Source organism: Homo sapiens, chromosome 7, assembly GCF_000001405.40.
Source record: "Homo sapiens chromosome 7, GRCh38.p14 Primary Assembly".
Lineage (NCBI taxonomy): Eukaryota > Metazoa > Chordata > Mammalia > Primates > Hominidae > Homo > Homo sapiens.
Window position 1 is genome coordinate 4615460 of NC_000007.14, and position 20316 is coordinate 4635775.

Sequence of the window (20316 nt, forward strand, 5' to 3'; positions counted from 1 at the left end):
TCTGTCTCAAAAATAATAAAAGTAATAATATTATTATTACTAAATGCAACTGGGCACGGTGGCTCACACCTGTCACCCCAACACTTGGTTGAGGGCTCCACCAGGAGGATCGCTTGAGGCCAGGAGTTCGAGAGCAGCCTAGGCAGCATAACAAGACCCTGTCTCTACAGAAAAAAAAAAAATTGTAATTAGCTGGGCATGGTGGCACATGCCTGTGGTGGCAACTAGTCAGGTGGCTGAGATGGAGGACCGCTTGAGCCCAGGAGGTGGAGGCTGCAGTAAGCTATAATCACACCACTGCACTCCAGCCTGGGCAACAGAATGAGACTTTGTCTCAAAAAAAAAAAAAAACAATAGAGATGCATTGCTTCACAGTTCCAGAGGCTAGACGCCTGAAACCAAGGTGTTGGCAGGGCCCTGCTCACCCTGACCCTGTAGGAGAGGACCTTCCTGGCCTTGGCGCGTGGCTGCATGACTCCAACCTCTGCCTCTCTTATCACATGGCCTCTTGTCTTTTCTCTGTACATCTTGTATGGACATCAGTCATGATGGATTAAAGGTTCACCTCCCTCTAGGGGGACTTCATCTTAACCAATGACAACTGCAACAACTCCATTTGCAAATAAGGTCCCAATCACAGATTCTGGGGGCTAGGACTGCAAAGTTTGCTTTGGTGGGAAACACAGTCCAACTGATACCAATGGATAGACAAATAAGTGGTGGTATTCCATACAATGGAAGGTTGTTCAGTCATAAAAGGGAATGAAATTCTGATACATGCTACGGCACAGATCAAACTCGAAAACGTCATGCTAAATGAATGATGCCAGACACAAAAGGCCACTATTGTACAATTCCACTTATGGGAAATAGGCTGAACAGGCAAATCCATAGAGACAAAAAGTAGATTATAGGGGCTGGAGGGAAGGGAAGAATGGGAAGTGATTGCTCATGGGCGTGGCGTTATTTTTAGAATAAGAAAAAATGTCCTGGAATTAAACAGCAGTGACAGCACAATTTTGTAAATATACTAAAAACTACTGAATTGTACACTTTAAAAGGGTGAATTTATGGTATGTAAATCGCATCTTGATTTTCAAAAAAAAAAGACCCTGTTTAAGAGGATGAAAAGACAAGCTACACACTGGCAGAAAATGTTTGCAAACCACATGCACCCCAAAGGACTGGTATTTGGAGTATATTTTTTAAAAAGGAACTCTTCAAAAATCAACAGTAAAAAACAATCTAATTAGAAAATGGGCAAAAGAAATGAAGAGGCATGGCTGGGTGCAGTGGCTCACGCCTGTAATCCCAGCACTTTGGCAGGCCGAGGCGGGTGGATCACCTGAAGTCAGGAGTTCAAGACCAGCCTGGCCAACATGGCAAAACCCCACCTCTACAAAAATGCAAAAATTAGCCAGGCCTGATGGCGGGTCCCTGTAATCCCAGCTACTTGGGAGGCTGAGGCAGGAGAATCGCTTGAACCCAGGAGGTGGAGGTTGCAGCAAGCCAAGATAGTGCCATTGTACTCCAGCCTGGGCTACAGAGCGAGACTCTGTCTCAAAAAAAAAAAAAAAAGAAGAAACATTTCACTGAAAAAGATACACAGATGGAAAATAAACACATGAAAAGATGTTCAATATCATTACCTACTGGAGAGATGCCCATTAAAACCACAATGAGATATCATGAGACACTTACCACAACAGCTAAAGTAAAAAATAAAATAAAAATAGTAACGCTGGGCGTGGTGGCTCACGCCTGTAATCCCATCACTTTGGGAGGCCGAGGCAGGCCGATCACAAGGTCAAGAGATCGAGACCATCCTGGCCAACGTGGTGAAACCCCGTCTCTACTAAAAAAAAAAATTACAAAAATTAGTTAGGCGTGGTGTCGCGCGCCTAAGTCCCAGCTACTCAGGAGGCTGAGGCAGGAGAATTGCTTCCACCCGGGAGGCAGGGGTTGCTGTGAGCCGAGATCGTGCCACTGCACTCCAGCCTGGGCGACAGATGGAGACTCTGTCTCAACAACAACAAAAATAGTAACAACACAAAATGCTGGTGAGGATGCAGGGAAACTAGATCCCTCATATGTTGCTGGTGAGAATGTAAACTGGTACAGATACTCTGGAAAAGAGTTTGACTGTTTTTTCAAAAACTAAACATGTACGTATCATACAACCTAGCGATTGCACTCTTGGGCATTTAAACGAGAGAAATGGAAAGTTATGATGACACAAAAACCTATACATGATTGTCTGGAGCTGCTTTATTCATAATAACCAAAAACGGAAAACAACTCTGAATTGTAATCCCCATGATTCCATTAATTCCCACATATCAAGGGCGGGACCACGTGGAGGTAATTGGATGATGAGGCCGTTTCCCCCAGGCTGTTCTCCTCATACTGAGTTAGTCTCATGAGATCTGATGGGGTTTTTTTGTTTTTGTTTCTGTTTTTGTTTTTTTTTTGAGACAGAGTCTCGCTCTGTCACCTGGGCTGGAGTGCAGTGGTGCAATCTTGGCTCACCGCAACCTCCACCTCCTGAGTTCAAGCGATTCTCCTGCCTCAGCCTCCCAAGTAGGTGGCATTACAGGCGCCCGCCATTATGCCCAGCTAATTTTTGCGTATTTTTAGTAGAGACAGGGTTTCGCCATGTTGGCCAGGCGGTCTCGAACTCCTGAGCTCGTGATCCGCCCACCTCGGCCTCCCAAAGTGCTGGGATTACATGCGTGAGCCACTGCGCCCCGGCCGAGATCTGATGGTTTTATAAGCATCTGGCATTTCCCCTGCTTGCGCTCACTCCATCCTGCCACCCTGGGAAGAAGGTGCCTGCTTCTCCTTTGCCTTCAGCCACGATTGTAAGTTTCCTGAGGCCTCCCCAGCAGTGCAGAACTGTGAGTCGATTAAATCTCTTTCCTTTATAAATTACCCAGTCTCAGGGGGTATTTCTCCATTACAGTGTGACAATGGACTAGTACAAACCCCTTGCCCTTCAATGAAACAGTAACATCCTCACCCCGAACACTTCTAATTTTATTCATTTATAATTATATAATTAATTTATAATTAATATAAAGGAACAAACCATAGATACCCATAATAACTTCTATGGTTCTCAAGGGAGTTATGCTGAGTGAGGAAAAAAAAGCCAGTCTCAAAAGGTTACATACTATAGGAATCCATTTATAAAACATTCTTTAAATGTAAATGACAACGTTACAGAGAGGAAGAACAGATTAGTCGTTGCCAGGGATTAGGAACTGGGGTGAGTGGGTGGATGTGACTGTAAGGAGTAGTGATGGAATAGTTCTGCATCTTGATTGTGGTGGCCGTCACACAAATCTGCACAGGTGATAAAATTACATCACACACACACACACACACACACACACAGAGCCAGGCGTGGTGGTTCATGCCTATAATCCAGCACGTTGGGAGGCTAAGGTGGGAGGATCACTGGAGGCCAGGAGTTCAAGACCAACCTGGGCAACATAGTGAGACTCTGTCTGTACAAAAATTTTAAAAATAGCCAGGCATGGTGGTGCATGCCTGTAGTCCCAGCTCCTCAGGAGGATGAGGCAGGGGGATCACTTGAGCCTAGGAGGTCAAGGCTGCAGTGAGCCATGATCTCGCTACTGCACTCCAGCCCGGGCAACGGAGGGATACCCTGTCTCAACACACACACACACACACACACACACACACACACACACAGATGTATGTATATTGCTTGCTGTTAAAATCAGAATTAGGTCTGTGGATTGTACCAATGTCAATTTCCTGGTTTTGATGTTGTACTACAGATATGCAAAATGTTACCCTTGGAGGAAACAGAATGACGAGTACGTGGGACTTCTCTGTACTTTTTTTCTTCAATTTCCTATAAACAGAATTATTTCAAAATAAAGAGTGTGCTGTTGTTGTTTTTAGAGACAGGGTCTCACTCCTTTTCCCAGGCTGTAGTGCAGTGGTGCGATCATGGCTCTCTGGGCGGGGAATGCATTGTTGTGATGAAAAATAAGACAGAAGTGGAAGTCACTGGGTTGGAACTCTGGGAAAGATTTTTTTTTTAAGTGGCTGACTATGCCTTTTTTTTTTCTTGAGATGGAGTCTTGCTCTGTCATCCAGGCTGAAGTGCAGTGGTGTGATCATAGCTCACTGCAGCCTCAAACTCCTGGGCTCAAGCCATCCTCCTGCCTCAGCCTCCCAAGTAGCTGAGACTACGGGTGCCTACCATTATGCTCAGCTAAATTTTTAATTTTTCTAGAGACAGGAAGTCTCGCTATGTTGCCCAGGCTGGTCTCGAACTCCTGGCCTCAAGTGATCCTCCCACCTCAGCCCCCAATTACAGACTTGAGCCACGGTGCCGCAGACAATGCCCTTTAAACCACTCTTCTTCCTCCTATCTGGAATATGGATGTGATGGCTGGTGCTGCAGCAGCAGTTGAGACCATGAGGTAACCTTGAGAATGGAAGCCCAGAGAATGCAGAGGATGGCGGGGACAGAAAGACAAGGAGAGCCTGGGACATGGGGACTCCACAGAGCAGGAGACCTGACCTGGGCTGAGCTGCCAACTTCTGATATTTAAGCCACTCTTTTTCTGCTACTTGCAAACTCATCCCTCAGTCCCCACCCAGGGCTCAAAAGACCAGTGAGAATCTGGAGAACCAGGCTGGAACAGGAACAGGAGCAAAGGCATCCCGAGACTTAAGAAGCAAGGGGCCGGGCACGGTGGCTCACGCCTGTAATCCCAGCACTTTGGGAGGCCGAGGTGGGCAGATCACCAGGTCAGGAGATCGAGACCATCCTGGCTAACACGGTGAAACCCCATCTCTACTAAAAATACAAAAAATTAGCTGGGCGTGGTGGCCGGTGCCTGTAGTCCCGGCTACTCAGGAGGTTGAGGCAAGAGAATGGCGTGAACCCAGGAGGCGGAGCTTGCAGTGAGCCGAGATCGCGCCACTGCACTCTAGCCTGGGCGACAGAGCTAGACTCTGTCTCAAAACAAACAAACAAATAAAAAAGCAAGAACCATACCCAGGAAGGTACGGGTGGCCCCATCATTGTCACAAGGCGAGTCCTCTCCTTGCAGGAGCAGCTGGGACTATAAACAGTCACTGGCAGACAGAAGCAAGCCACACCCTTTCCTGGAAGCCAAGTCACGGGTTGGGACAAGAAAAGAGACTGTATAAGTCTGTACATTTTCCTTCTAAAAGTCTCTCTTTGACCCAGGCATGGTGACTCATGCCTGTTAATCCCAGCACTTTGGGGGGCTGAGGCTTCAGGATGTCTTGAGCCCAGGAGATTGATACCAGCCTGGGCCACAGAGCAAGACCTTGTCTCTATATTTTTTAATTTTAGAAATAACTAAAAACAAATAAAAGTCCCTCTTGGGAGATTTTGCTTGTTTATTTTATTTATTTATTTATTTATTTATTTATTTATTTATTTATTTTGAGACAGAATCTCACTGTCACCCAGGCTGGAGTGCAGTGACACGATCTCAGGTCACTGCAACCTCTACCTCCTGGGTTCAAGCCATTCTCATGCCTTAGCCTCCCAAGTATCTGGAATCACAGGCGCCCACCACCACCCTCGGATAATTTTTTTGTATTTTTAGTAGAGACAGGGTTTCACCATGTTAGCCAGGCCGGTCTCCAAATCCCAACCTCAGGTGATCTGCCTGCCTCGGCCTCCCAAAGTGCTGGGATTACAGGCATGAGCCATCGTGCCTGGCCGATTTTGCTTGCTTATAGTTATGATGTTTCCAGAGAGAAACATACCCACTCAGTGTTGCAAATAAAACAAGAGTTACAAATAGATGTTTCCACCATCTCTCCAGTCAGGAAGGCTTTCTCCACCATGCTGACCTGGACATGGTGGACGATCTCTTGTGCCCACATCAGATAAGCCTTGCCAGGTCAGAAGCCCAGTTGTTTAGACAAGCAACGAAGCCTGTCTCAGCAGAGAATTAGAAACACCACAGGGAATATCTCCATATGGCTTAATATACTGTTGTTCCCCCTTGACCACGGTTTTGCTTTCTGCAGTTTCAGTCACTCATGGTCAACTATGACCCAAAAATATGACATGAAAAATTCCAGAAATAACCAGTCATAAGTTTTAAATTGCATGCTGTTCTGAGCAGCATGATTAAGTCTTGCAACACTCGGCTCCATCCCACTTGGGACATAGATACCTTTGTCCAGGGAACCCACACTGCACATACTATCCACCTGTTGTCACTTAGTAGCCATCACGGTTATCAGATCGAGAGATCACAAGAAAAGGATTAGTACAGTATAAGATATTGAGTAGGCTGAGCATGGTGGCTCATGCCTGTAATCCTAGCACTTTGGGAGGCCAAGGCAGGTGGATTGCTTGAGGCCAGGAGTTCGAGATCGGCCTTGCCAACATGGAGAAACCCCATCTCTACTAAAAATACAAAAATTCGTTGGACATGATGGAACATGCCTGTAATCCCAGCTATTTGGGAGGCTGAGGCAAGAGAATCGCTTGAACCCGGGAGGCAGAGGTTGCAGTGAGCTGAGATCACGCCTATGAACTCCAGCCTGGGAGATAGAGCAAGACTCTATCTCAAAACAAACAAACAAACAAACAAAGATATTGTGAGAGAGAGAAAGAAGGAGAGAGAGAGAGAGACCACATTCGCTTAACTTTAGAGAGAGACCACATTCACTTAACTTTCATTACAGTGCATTGTTATAATTGTTCTACTTTATTATTAGTTGTTTTTAATCTCTTACTGTGCCTAATTTAGAAATTAAGCTTTATTATTGGAATGTACACATAGGATAAAACATAGTATATTAGGGTTTGGTACTATCTGAGGTTTCAGGCATCCACTGGGGTTCTTGGAACATAATCCCCACAGATAAGGGGGGACTCCTGCAGTGTTTATGAGGGAATAAAAGGATAGTAAAGCCCTTTGAAGTCCTAGAATTTCCCTCTCATTGTAATTTTCAAAAATTTAAGGGGGCTCTGACCTCACAAGGGGAGTCATATGGTTTGGCTCTGTGTCCCCACCCAAATCTCATCTTGAATTGTAATCCCCAGGTGTTGAGGGAGGGAGGGACCTGGTGGGAGGTGACTGGATCATGAGGGCGGTTTCTCCCATGCTGTTCTCGTGGTAGTGAGTGAGTTCTCACGAGATCCGATGGCTTTATGAATGGCAGTTTCCCCTGCGCTTTCACTCTTCTCTCTCCTGCTGGCATGTGAAGAAGGTCCTTGCTTCCTCTTTGCCTTCTGCCATGATGGTAAATTTCCTGAGGCCTCCCCAGCCATGTGGAACTGTGACTCAATTAAACCTCTTTCCTTTATATTAGGTTGGTGCAAAAGTAATAGTGGTTTTTGCCATTGTAAGTAATGGCAAAAACCACACTTCTGTACCAACCTAATAAATTACCCAGTATTGAGTAGGTCTTTATATTGTGAGAATGGACTAATATAGGGAGGAAAGCCCTAATTTTGACACATTCTAAAACAAAGGACCCCACAACAGGGACTGGGGAAGAAAGGCAGGAAAAAACCCCACTGACTTTTAGAATCTTTCTTCTTTTGCTGCTGATTCAGTTTCTAGAGGAAGAGCAACCAGTTGGGTCTGCCTTGGTTCACGTGACACCATTTGGCTTCTGGAGGGGAGCCCTGCTTACAAACCTCAACCCAACACCACTGGGTGACATCCAGGGGGAAAGGGATGGACACTTCCTCAAGAGGAAACCAAGGGGAATGGAGAACTGGGGAACAAAGAAAAAATAATGTCCATTCCAGTTAATTTAAACTTTTTTAAAAAAGAAAACTGGGCTGCTCACAAACAATGAAATGACCTCTCCCTCTCCCTCTCCCTCTCCCATGGTCTCCCTCTCCCCATGGTCTCCCTCTCCCTCTCTTTCCACCGTCTCCCTCTCATGCCGAGCCAAAGCTGAACTATACTGCTGCCATCTCGGCTCACTGCAACCTCCCTGCCTGATTCTCCTGCCTCAGCCTGCAGAGTGCCTGCAATTGCAGGCGTGCGCCGCCACGCCTGACTGGTTTTCGTATTTTTTTGGTGGAGACGGGGTTTCCCTGTGTTGGCCGGGCTGGTCTCCAGCTCCTAACCGCGAGTGATCCGCCAGCCTCGGCCTCCCGAGGTGCTGGGATTGCAGACGGAGTCTGGTTTACTCAGTGCTCAATGGTGCCCAGGCTGGAGTGCAGTGGCGTGATCTCGGCTCGCTACAACCTCCACCTCCCAGCCGCCTGCCTTGGCCTCCCGAAGTGCCGAGATTGCAGCCTCCGCCCGGCCGCCACCCCGTCTGGGAAGTGAGGAGTGTCTCTGCCTGGCCGCCCATCGTCTGGGATGTGAGGAGCCCCTCTGCCTGGCTGCCCAGTCTGGAAAGTGAGGAGCGTCTCTGCCCAGCCACCATCCCATCTGGGAAGTGAGGAGCGCCTCTTCCCGGCCGCCATCACATCTAGGAAGTGAGGAGCGTCTCTGCCCGGCCGCCCATTGTCTGGGATGTGGGGAGCGCCTCTGCCCCGCCGCCCCGTCTGGGATGTGAGGAGTGCCTCTGCCCGGCCGCCACCCCGTCTGGGAGGTGAGGAGCATCTCTGCCCGGCCGCCTCGTCTGAGAAGTGAGGAGACCCTCCGCCCAGCAGCCGCCCCGTCTGAGAAGTGAGGAGCCTCTCCGCCCGGCAGCCACCCCGTCCGGGAGGGAGGTGGGGGGTGTCAGCCTCCCGCCAGGCCAGCCGCCCCATCTGGGAGGGAGGTGGGGGCGTCAGCCCCCCACCCGGCCAGCCGCCCCGTCTGGGAGGGAGGTGGGGGGGTCAGCCCCCCGCCCGGCCAGCAGCCCCGTCCGGGAGGTGAGGGGCACCTCTGCCCGGCCGCCCCTACTGGGAAGTGAGGAGCCCCTCTGCCCAGCCACCACCCCGTCTGGGAGGTGTACCCAACAGCTCATTGAGAACGGGCCATGATGACAATGGCGGTTTTGTGGAATAGAAAGGGGGGAAAGGTGGGGAAAAGATTGAGAAATCGGATGGTTGCCCTGTCTGTGTAGAAAGAAGTAGACATGGGAGACTTTTCATTTTGTTCTGTACTAAGAAAAATTCTTCTGCCTTGGGATCCTGTTGATCTGTGACCTTACCCCCAACCCTGTGCTCTCTGAAACATGTGCTGTGTCCACTCAGAGTTAAATGGATTAAGGGCGGTGCAAGATGTGCTTTGTTAAACAGATGCTTGAAGGCAGCATGCTCATTAAGAGTCACCACCACTCCCTAATCTCAAGTACCCAGGGACACAAACGCTGCGGAAGGCCGCAGGGTCCTCTGCCTAGGAAAACCAGAGACCTTTGTTCACTTGTTTATCTGCTGACCTTCCCTCCACTATTGTCCTATGACCCTGCCAAATCCCCCTCTGTGAGAAACACCCAAGAATGATCAATAAAAAAAAAAAGAAAGAAAACTGAAGCTCCAGATATGCAAGGTGATACTAAGATAGCATATTTGTGCTTTAAAAGAGTTTGAGGCCGGACAGAGTGGCTCATACCTGTATCCTTAACACTTTGGGAGTCTGAGGTGAGAGGCTCACTTGAGGACAGGAGTTTGAGACCATCCTGGGCAACACATCTAGACCCTGTCTCTACCAAAAATCTTAAATTAGCCAGGCATGGTGGCATGCACCTGTAGATACAGCTACTCCCAGAGGCTGAGATGCAAGAATCGTTTGAGCCCAGAAGGTCAAGGCTGCAGTGAGCTATAATGGCACCACTGCACTCCAGCCTGGGTAACAGATCAAGACTCCATTTATTTATTTATTTATTTATTTATTTATTTATTTATTTGAAATAAGGTCTTGCTCTGCTGCCCAGACTGGAGTGCAGTGGCGTGATCTCGGCTCACTACAACCTCCACCTCCCAGGTTCAAGCATTTCTCCTTCCTCAGCCTCTGAAGTAGCTGTGATCACAGGCATGCCTCACCACACCCAGCTAATTTTTCTGTTTTAGTAGAGACAGGATTTCTCCATGTTGGCCAAACTGGTCTCAAACTCCTGAACTCAGGTGATCTGCCTGCTTCAGCCTCCCAAAGTGCTGGGATTACAGGCATGAGCCACCATGCCCAGCCCCCATCTCTTTAAAAAAAAAAAAAGAGAGAGAGAGAGTTTCCATGTCCAAATGGATTCTATACTTAAATCAACCTGGACAATTATGTGGGTCTCTCCAGTCACACAAAGAGAAGTGAAACAGTCCCTGACATCAACAAGTTCCCATTCTAGAAAGGGAGCAAGATATACATGCATGCCACAGAGCAAAAAATGATTGGTAAGAACTGTTAAAGATAACCTATCCAAGCACCATGGGAGAACAGAGACCGGGGTCGTTAATTCTTCAAAATCAGAGTACGCTTCCTGTTGGCATTTGAGTAGGAGATGAGAATAGAGAACAGAAATTTGGAACAAATGATGTAGAGCTTTGAATGTCCTGCCGAATTTTTCTGTAACAGTATTGTTGAAGTTTTTGAGCAGAGGAATAAACATGATCTTATCTCAGCAACAATGTAGAGATTAGATTGCCCCAGCGGGAGAGATTAAAGGTTAGAAAACCAGTAAGAATGTTGTTGCAATAAGGCAGATGAGAGATAAGGGCCTGCTTTAGAGGACTGGGAAGTGAGGGTAATGATGGGAAACGACATTTCAGGGAGCTGGACTGGGCAGGTCCTGATGAATAATTGGATGGTGGGGGTCAAACAGAAGATAATGCAAGACTTCTGTCTTGGGTGATTTGGTGAATGGTGATGCTATTATTCAATCCGGGAAACTCAGGAGCAGTGTGCAAGGGGAAGAAGGTGAGGTTGATTGGGGTCAGATAGAGCTTGAGATATTTCAGAGATACACTGGTGGAAATATTCTGCAGGCTGCTGGAATTTTTCTTCTTTTTTTGAGACAGGGTCTTGCTCCGTTGCCCAGGCTGGAGTGCAGTGGCACCATCTTGGCTTACTGCAGCCTCAACCTGGCAGGCTCCAGAGATCCTCCCACCTCAGTCTCTCGAGTAGCTGGGACCACAGGCACTCATCACCACACCTGGATAATTGTGTTTATTTTTTATAGAGACGGGATCTCACTATATTGCCTAGACTGGTCTCCAGCTACTGGCCTCAAGCGATCCTCCCACCTCAGCCACCCAAAGGGCTGGGCTGGGATTACAGGCATGAACCACCAGGCCCAGCCCAGGGTGTTGAAAATCTTGAGTCCAAAACTCAGGAAGAAGCCAGGTGTGGTGGCATGCATCTGTAATCCCAGCTACTCAGGAGGCTTAGGTGGGAGGATCACTTGAGCCTGGGAGTCCGAAACCAGCCTGTGTAACATAGGGAGGCACCATCTTTAAAAATTAATTAATTAATTAAAATTCAGGAAGACTGGTCACTGGTCATCATTATCTTTGAACAATGAAATTATGGATGATTTTTATTTGATTATTTTTAGGGTTCTTGATAGGCACATGTTACTTTTATAGTTACCAAAAAGAATTTTTTTGAAGAATAACTAAAGGGGGAGACAGGTTAGGATAAGAGAAATCAAGATGATCGCAGACATGGCAGAACATGCGGACGCAGCTGCAGAATTAGAGTTTGTTCAGTTCAGATCCACAGTTACTGTACATTCCTGCTTTGTCAGGCTCCAGAGCCACCTCTGGATGGTCTCCATCCTCAGAGAACCCCAAGGAGTAGGAAGGTGCAAGGAGAGGAGAGATGAACAGATGTCCCACTTTGCAAAAAAGAAAAAAAAAGGAAGGGCAGATTCTGGAAGCTGCAGAGCTCTACGTCTTGCAGCTAGGCAAAAATTCTAAAATCTTGCAAATCCTATGGGAACAAGGCACAGATGGGTGGTCCTTAGGAGACAGCCAGGACCCACCAGGAATATTCGAACCAAAGGAAGCTCATTTTCCTTCTGGAGAAGGGAAGACTAAAGAGATTGCATATCAGGATTTCAGCCAGACATTTGACAAAGGTCTCATGACAATCCCACGGGCGAGTTAGACGAATATGGGCTGGAGGAGAGTGGAGTAAGTGTGGGTTCAGATGCAGTAGAATGACCCACCGCATGCAAGGATTTGATTACTGAGCTGATGTCAATCCAGAGAAAGGTCCTGAGACCTCACAGTTCTCCTCTTGGCTCTGTCCTGTTTATCATTTTCGTGACCAGAAAAACAGATACTGGCTGAGAATGAAGAGCTTAATGAAACCTCTTGGGAAAAAAGAGCTGGTTTGTCTTTTGTGATGGGAAATTACCACCACCGCGTGCATTTCTGCGGGTCCCAGACGACCAACCACCTCCCATGAAGATGAAGAAGAGTCCAGCCAGGACGAAAGATCTTAGTGGTGTCCTCCACTGTCCTTCCCAAATCCAAGATCCTTCCAGTCTGCAAGCGTCCTTTGGACACTGTCACCCAAAAGTCCGCCATCTTTGCAAAGCCAGTCTGTCTACCCCAGAGCCCATCCTCTTAGGCTGAAGGCAGTTTGGTTTTAAGGGAGGCACAGGGTCTATGCAGCCAGTGACACCTGAGTTCCCATCGCCAACCATGCTGTCCAGGTGTGTGCATTAAGACAAGTGACTCCACCTCTCTTTCGGCCTCAGTTTCTTTTTTTTTTTTTTGAGACGGAGTCTCGCTCTGTCACCCAGGCTGGAGTGCAGTGGTGCGCGGTCTCTGCTTACTGCAAGCCCTGCCTCCTGGGTTCACGCCATTCTCCTGCCTCAGCCTCCCGAGTAGCTGGGACTACAGGTGCCTGCCACCACGCCCGGCTAATTTTTTTTTGTATGTTTTTTTTCAGTAGATATGGGGTTTCACCGTGTTAGCCAGGATGGTCTCGATCTCCTGACCTCGTGATCCACCTGCCTCGGCCTCCCAAAATGCTAGGATTACAGGCGTGAGCCACCGCGCCCGGCCTCAGTTTCTTTATCTGTAAAAGAGGTAGGTTCTACCTACCTCTTGGAGTTTGTGGGGCTTAAATAAGGACATGCTGTATACATCGAGCGTTTGGATTGACCAACACAAAAACAAATCACTAGTGAACATCTCTCAAGTGCCAAGTACTCTACAGGGTGTGGGCGTACAAGAGACACAACCCCGGCCTTCACAGCAGCGTTTACTATCCAGGGCAGAGATGGATGCTAAATGAACAGACATTTACAACGGGCAAACAGGGCCAGAAGCAGTGGCTCACACCTGTAATCCTAGCACTTTAGGAGACCAAGGCAGGTGGATTACTTGAGGCCACGAGTTCAAGACCAGCCTGAGCAACATGGTGAACCCTGTCTCTACTAAAAATAGAAAAATTAGCCAGGTGTGGTGATGCGCACCTGTAATCTCAGCTACTTTGGAGGCTGAGGCATGAGAATCACTTGAACCTGGAAAGTGGAGGTTGCAGTGAGCTGAGATCGTGCCACTGCACTCCAGCCTGGGTGACAGAGCAAGACCCTGTCTCAAAACTAAACTAAAATAAATCGGCTAATAGGCTGGGTGCAGTGGCTTACACTTGTAATCCCAGCACTTTGGGAGACTAAGGGGGGAGGATCACTTGAGCCCAGGAGTTGGAGACCAGCCTGGGCAACACAGTGAGACCCTGTCTCTATTATATAATATATATTATATATTACATATTATATAATATATAATTTTTAATGGGTAAATAAGCCAAAGAATATATAATAACAATCTGAGGAAGAGACCTCGGGGAAAAGGAGGGTGAGAAGATGCCTTTCTGTGGTGAGAAAAAAAAATCATCCCTGGAATCTGATAAATGGCGATCCATTTCCACACCACCAGGTCAGGGTGCTCAAGTCTGCTGGCTTTGAATGGGCATCTGTCTTTCACAATTCCAAGCCGATTTTCACTGGTACATCAGCAAGCTGCTGCTGCTGCCAGGGTCCCCTTCACAGGGCCACCTCCCAGCCAGCCCGTTCCTTCCCCTCAACCCCCCTCCTTTCCCCTCAACCCCCCTCCCTGGGCCAGCGCCAACCAGGTTCTTACCCCTGATCATATGCTTCTACACCCATCAACAGTGAATGAAACTCTGAGGACCCAAGTCTTCCACCCCCACCTGGGCATGGGTTTTGAAGTGTGGGCCATTCAAGGCCCTCTGTGATCTGTTCCAGATGTCTGTCACATCCAACATTTGCTAGAGATTTATTATGTGCTATGCTGAGTCTTTTGCAGGCATTTGCTCATTCAATACTCACCCCCACTCAGGTGATTCATCCCCCTTGATGATTTTGGGGAGCTCAGTCAGGCTCCGAGAGGAGAAGGAGCCCCCACCAGGTCACATGGGTAGGTCTCATGGGATTTGAACCCAGGCTCCAATGCACCCAGGGAAGAAAACCTCGCCCATCCCATCCATCTGTCGAGTTTGGTGTGCGGCCTGCACCTAAAACGCCTGCCTCTTCCTGAAGCCCCCATTTGTCTTGAGAAATAGAAAGAGAGAGAGAGAGAAAAAAAAACAATAATTGAATGAGCAATTCAAAACAGTATTTTAATGCTAAACGTGCTTATATCACGGAGTAGAATGCAAACTATGTAGGAGCATATTTAAGACAAAGCTGACAGTTTCAGGGAGAAGTGGGCCCTGGAGCCCTTCAATCTGAGTCTCAGGATACCGGGTGGGTGCAGAGAGGAGGCCTGGCCTCTCCCCTCCTGACTCCTGCTCTGCCATCAGCCTTGCCCACCCACTCCTCAGTCTCTTTGTCCACACTGTACTCCCCTCAGCCCCCACCCTACTGTGTACGAGACCCCCACTCTTCCCCAGGAACCCCCTTCTTTCCTCTGAACTCCCCGACTCTCTCCTCCACCCCTAGCATGTGTTGGCCATTTAATAAACCACGGTGCGCTGTACGTTTCCTTTTCATGGGCACTTTTCAATGTCTCCAATAAAAGCAGCATCTCCTGGTGGCTAAGAGGTGGCCATTGCTTCTCCAAATGGCCCAGAGCCACATCTTGCCCATGGTACACGCTCTCGGGGACCACAAGCTGAGAGCTTCAAGGGCAGGTATTTCCCTGTAATTTGGGGCCATCCCTACCAAAAAGCTATAGCACCCTTGGAGTAACACCATGTTCCATGAATTCCAGCTTTTTTTGGGTTTTTTTGTTTGTTGTTTGAGATGGAGTCTCACTCTGTTGCCCAGGCTACAGTGCAGCGGCACGATCTCGGCTCACTGCAACCTCCGCCTCCTGGGTTCAAGCGATTCTCCTGCCTCAGCCTCCCGAGTAGCTGGGATTACAGGCATGTGCCACCATGCCTGGCTAATTTTTGCATTTTTAGTAGAGATGGGGTTTTGCCATGTTGGTCAGGCTGGTCTCGAACTCCTGACCTCGGGCGATCCGCCCATCTCGGCCTCTCAAAGTGCTAGGATTACAGGCATGAGTCACTGCACCCAGCCTATAAATTCCAGCTTTGACTGCCTAAGCCTAGTTCATTACCAGCAAGAAGGGGAAACTATCAAGAACTTTTTTTTTTTTTTTTTTGAGACAAGGTCTCACTCTGTTACCTAGGCTGGAGTACAATAGTGCAATCATAGCTCACTGCAGCCCGGACCTCCAGGGCTCAAGCCATCCTCCTGCTTCAGCCTCCCGAGTAGCTGGGAATACAGGTGCACACCGCCACACCCAGCTAATTTTTTGTATTTTTGGTAAAGACAGGGTCTCGCCACGTTACCCAGGATGGTCTCAAACTCCCAGGCTCAAGCGATCCTCCCGCCTCAACCTCCCAAAGTGTTGGGATGACAGGCATGAGCCACCCGCCCGGCCCAAGAACTCTGTGTTTTGTGCAAACATGCATAGCTGTGTTTTCGCTTTAAAGCCACTAAACATGCTTCCTGCCCAGTGCCTGCTGCTGCACCCTAGGATCTCGCCTCCAGACGAGGTCAAAGCCTTTCTTAGGGCTGTTCTCAGCTCCCCCAGGTAGCACGTCTGCATAGTTCACGGGCATTGCTTTAGGGTGATGCTTAATTGCTATTTGTTTCCTTTGCATGGAATCTGCGTCTCTAGCACTCAGCAGGCTGCCTGTCACACAGTAGGTGATCAATAAACGTGGGTAGGATAATTAAAGGAATGCTCTCCCACTCCAGCTGACACGTGCCAGCCTCCCAACCATGTCCCACGTTGTGCTGTTGAGAGCTGCTCAGGGCGGCGCTGCTCTAACTGGTGCTTTGGATGTATTCTAAGAGCTACAGCTCAGACCAGGAGCCCCGGAGAACAACAGGCCAGTTCAGAAGATTACAGCAGGACTGATGGCGTGAAGTCGGGGAGAAGCTGCTGCGGGTTTTCTGTTCAATTCCCATCCTGCACTGCCATCTCCAGGACACAGGAGTCCTCGCCAGGATGATCAAAGCGGCAGCCAACTCAGCGGGAAAACGTGCAACATCACCCTCGTGACCAGGGCTTTTGATCCGGGAAGGTCGGAGCAGATTGGGAACATTTGCTCATCATTCCTCTCCCTTTGCTGTGCAGCGGTGAGAAAATGGGGAAAGGCAGTTGTTCAAAGAACATCTCCTACGCTATTAGCTGGTGAGACCAGAGGACCAAGACAGGGAGTGCCCCGGCCCAGCGCTCACACCCCATGGCAATGTTCCTAGCCGGCTACAGGGATCTTGCACAATACGGATTCCAAGGCAGTAGCCTGGGGTGGGGCCTGAGAGCAGGCACTTCTAGCAAATCCCAGATGCAGCTCATGGTGCAGGTCTGAGCCATGGTCAATCCGTGAGGGGCAAAATGTGGTGCGAGGGCCAGCAGCAGCAGCGCCTGGATGATTTTTTTTTTTTCTTTTTGAGACAGAGTCTCACTCACTCTGTCACCCAGGCTGGAGTGCGGTGTCGCGATCTCTGCTCACTGCAACCTCAGCCTCCCGGGTTCAAGCGATTCTCCTGCCTCAGCCTCCCGAGTAGCTGGGATTACAGGTGCCCGCCCACCACCATGCCCAGCTAATTTTGTATTTTTAGTAGAGAGGGGGTTTCAGCATGCTGGTCAGGCTGGTCTCCAACTCCTGACCTCTGGTGATCCGCCTGCCTTGACAAATGTATCTAAGTGTCCTTTGGCGTGCAGATTATTTTGTCACCACGAGGACACTTTAAAGATACATTGGTGGTGCAACGTTCCTGGAGCTGGTAGGAAGACATTCATTTCTTTCTTTATTTGAGTCACGGACACCAGACCCCTGTGACATGCAATTTACCTGCATAATAAACCTGCACATGTACCCTTGAACCTAAAATAGAAGTTTTAAAAAGCATAAAAAATAATAATAATAAAATATATTTTTCGACTGTGTAAAAAAAAAAAGTGTCTTTTTGTGGGGGGAAGGTGGCAGGACAGGGTCTCACTCTGTCACCCAGGCTGGAGTGCAATGGCATGATTTGGGCTCACTGTAACCTCCGCCTCCCAGGTTCAAGCAATTCTGCTGCCTCGGCCTCCCGAGCAGCTGGGATTACAGGCGCACACCACCACGCCCGGCTAATTTTTGTATTTTTAGTAGAGATGGGGTTCCACCATGTTGGCCAGGCTGGTCTCAGACTCCTGACCTCAAGAGATCCTCTCACCTCGACCTCCCAAAGTGCTGGGATTACAAGTGTGAGCCACCATGCCAGGCCAACACCTGGAAGATTTTTGTTCCACAAAATGTAAAATGCCTCATCCAGGCAGCATCGCCATCAGCTGGAGGCTTGTTAAAAATACACAGTCTCAGGCCCCATGTAGACCTGCTGAGTCACAGCCTTGGTGATTCATAAACACAAGCAAGTTTGAGGCCAGGTGTGGGGATAATCCCATGCCTTTGTCTCAGCACTTTGGGAGGCCAAGGCAGGAGGATCACTTGAGGCCAGGGGTTTGAGACCAGCTTGGAGATGCGAGACCCCATCTCTACAAAAAACTTAAAAATCTAGTTCTTCAATGTAAATAAAGTTTTGGAAAAAAGAAAATTTTAAAAAATGAAAATTAAAAAATTAATTTAATTTATTTTAATTTAAAAATTAGCTGGGTGTGGTGGCACACACCTGTAGTCCCAGCTACTAGAAGGCTGAGACAGGAGGATCGCTTGAACCCAGGAGTTGGAGGCTGCAGTGAGCTATGATCGCGCCACTGCACTCCAGCCTGGGCTACAGAGCAAGGCTCTGTCTCAAAAAATAAAAGGAACAAAACCAACCAGTGACATTTCTGTATGCCTCCCACCTCTGTCCCCGCCCACCTCCCCTACCCAGGAACGACTGTTACCAGTTTCCCCAGCATCCTACAGGAATGTCCACGCTCATGCAGACACATGTGTATGCCATCGTTCTCATAAATGCTCATGGAAAACAGGACAGTCTTGTCCCCGGTTTCCTTCCCAGGCAGATTCTAACCCCTGAGTCACGGACTTTGCAGCTAGCTTCTGAGCTTCTGCCCAATCTCAGATGCTCTGGACTCCACCTTCATTTTATGAACCCAGAATCAGCCGCCGAGGCTCTCCAAGAAGCCATGAGTTGCAGGGACCACACCTTGGCTTTCCAGGACACTCACCTGTCCTATTTCAAAGTGAGTCAGGATCCTTTTGTTTTTGTTTTTGTTTTTGGTGACAGAGTCTTGCTCTGTCACCCAGGCTGGAGTGCAATGGCGCAATCTCAGCTCACTGCAACCTCCGTCTCCCGGGTTTAAGCAATTCTCCTGCCTCAGTCTCCCCAGTAGTTGGAATTACTGGCATGTGCCACCAAGCCTGGCTAATTTTTATATTTTTAGTACAGACGGGGTTTCTCCATAGTGGCCAGGCTGGTCTCGAACTCCTGACCTCAAGTGATCCACCCACCTTGGCCTCCCAAAGTGCTGGGATTACAAGCATGAGCAACCCCACCCAGCCTGTGAGTCAGGAGCTTTCTTAACAAGCTAAAGCACCTCCGTTTCCTCAAGAGGATTTCTTGCGTCTTTCAGATCTCAAAGGGAGAAAATCATGCCAAAAGATTTTGCATACTTCTTAGTTTATTCTTGGGTATTTTCATTTTAGCATCTATCATAAGAGGGACTTTTTCTAAAGAGCTGTTATTTGTATATTGGAATTCTATTTTTTTTTTTTTTTTTTGAGATGGAGTTTCACTCTTGTTGCCCAGGCTGGAGTGCAATGGCGCAATCTTGGCTCACCACAACCTCTGCCTCCCAGGTTCAAGCAATTCTCCTGCCTCAGCCTCCCATGTAGCTAGGATTACAGGCGTGCGCTACCATGCCCAGCTAATTTTGTATTTTTAGTAGAGACGGGTTTTCTCCATGTTGGTTAGGCTGGTCTCGAACTCCCGACCTCAGGTGATCTGCCTGCCTCAGCCTCCCAAAGTGCTGGGATTACAGGCATGAGCCACCGCACCCGGTGGAATTCTATTGTTTTTTTAAAAAATATTCACTGTGTACCCAGTCATCTTATTGAATTTTCTTTTTGTTGTTGTTTTTGGTTTGTTTTGTTTTGAGACGGAGTTTCACTCTTGTTGCCCAGGCTGGAGTGCAATGGTGCGATCTCAGCTCATCGCAACCTCTGCCTCCCAGGTTCAAGCGATTCTTCTGCCTCAGCCTCCCGAGGAGCTGGGATTACAGGCATGCGCTACCACGCCCGGCTACTTTTGTATTTTTAGTAGAGACAGGGTTTCTCCATGTTGGTCAGGCTGGTCTTGAACCCCCAAATTCAGGTGATCCACCCACCTCGGCCTCCGAAAGTGCTGAGATTACAGGCGTGAACCACCACACCCAGACCAAATTTTCTTATTGTTCATGGCAGTTTTCTAGTCAATTGCTGGATTTCTAGGCATAGGTCATGTTATACACAAAAAGTTTTTGATCAGTTCTTTATTTCGGCTCTTCCGAAACTATCTGTGGTGAAGGATCATGTTTTGGTTTTCTAAAATAGGTGACAGCCAGGCATGGTGGCTCACGCCTGTAATCCCAGCACTTTGGGAGGCTGAGGCGGGTGGATCACCTGAGGTCAGGAGTTCAAGACCACCTGACCAACATGGAGAAACCCCGTCTCTACAAAAATACAAAAATTAGCTGGGCACGATGGTGGGTGCCTGTAATCCCAGCTACTCAGGAGGCTGAGGTGGGAGAATCGCTTGAACCCGGGAGGTGGAGGTTGCAGTCAGCCGAGATCGTGCCATTGCACTCCAGCCTGGGCAAAGGAGTGAGACTCCATCCCAAAAATAAAATAGGTGAGAAGTTCATGAAACCCACTTTTGGCTGTCTAATTTCTTTTTTTTTATTTTTTATTTTTTAGACAGGGTCTCGCTCTGTCGCCCAGGCTGGAGTGCAGCAGCCCAATCACGGTCTGCATC

The 20316-nt window shown here is 48.4% G+C and overlaps 3 annotated features.

Annotated features, from left to right (window-relative positions):
* Nucleotides 15296-16274: an enhancer, noted in NCBI's record as "NANOG-H3K4me1 hESC enhancer chr7:4670386-4671364 (GRCh37/hg19 assembly coordinates)". NCBI's record gives its function as "activates a minimal SCP1, AML or CMV promoter by ChIP-STARR-seq in primed H9 embryonic stem cells {active_cell/tissue: H9 hESC(primed)}" and the evidence as "EXISTENCE:reporter gene assay evidence [ECO:0000049][PMID:30033119]".
* Nucleotides 15296-16473: a biological region, named in NCBI's record as "Sharpr-MPRA regulatory region 9979".
* Nucleotides 16179-16473: a silencer, noted in NCBI's record as "tiled region #9979; K562 Repressive DNase unmatched - State 8:EnhW". NCBI's record gives its function as "represses a minimal TATA promoter and a strong SV40 promoter by Sharpr-MPRA in K562 cells {active_cell/tissue: K562}" and the evidence as "EXISTENCE:reporter gene assay evidence [ECO:0000049][PMID:27701403]".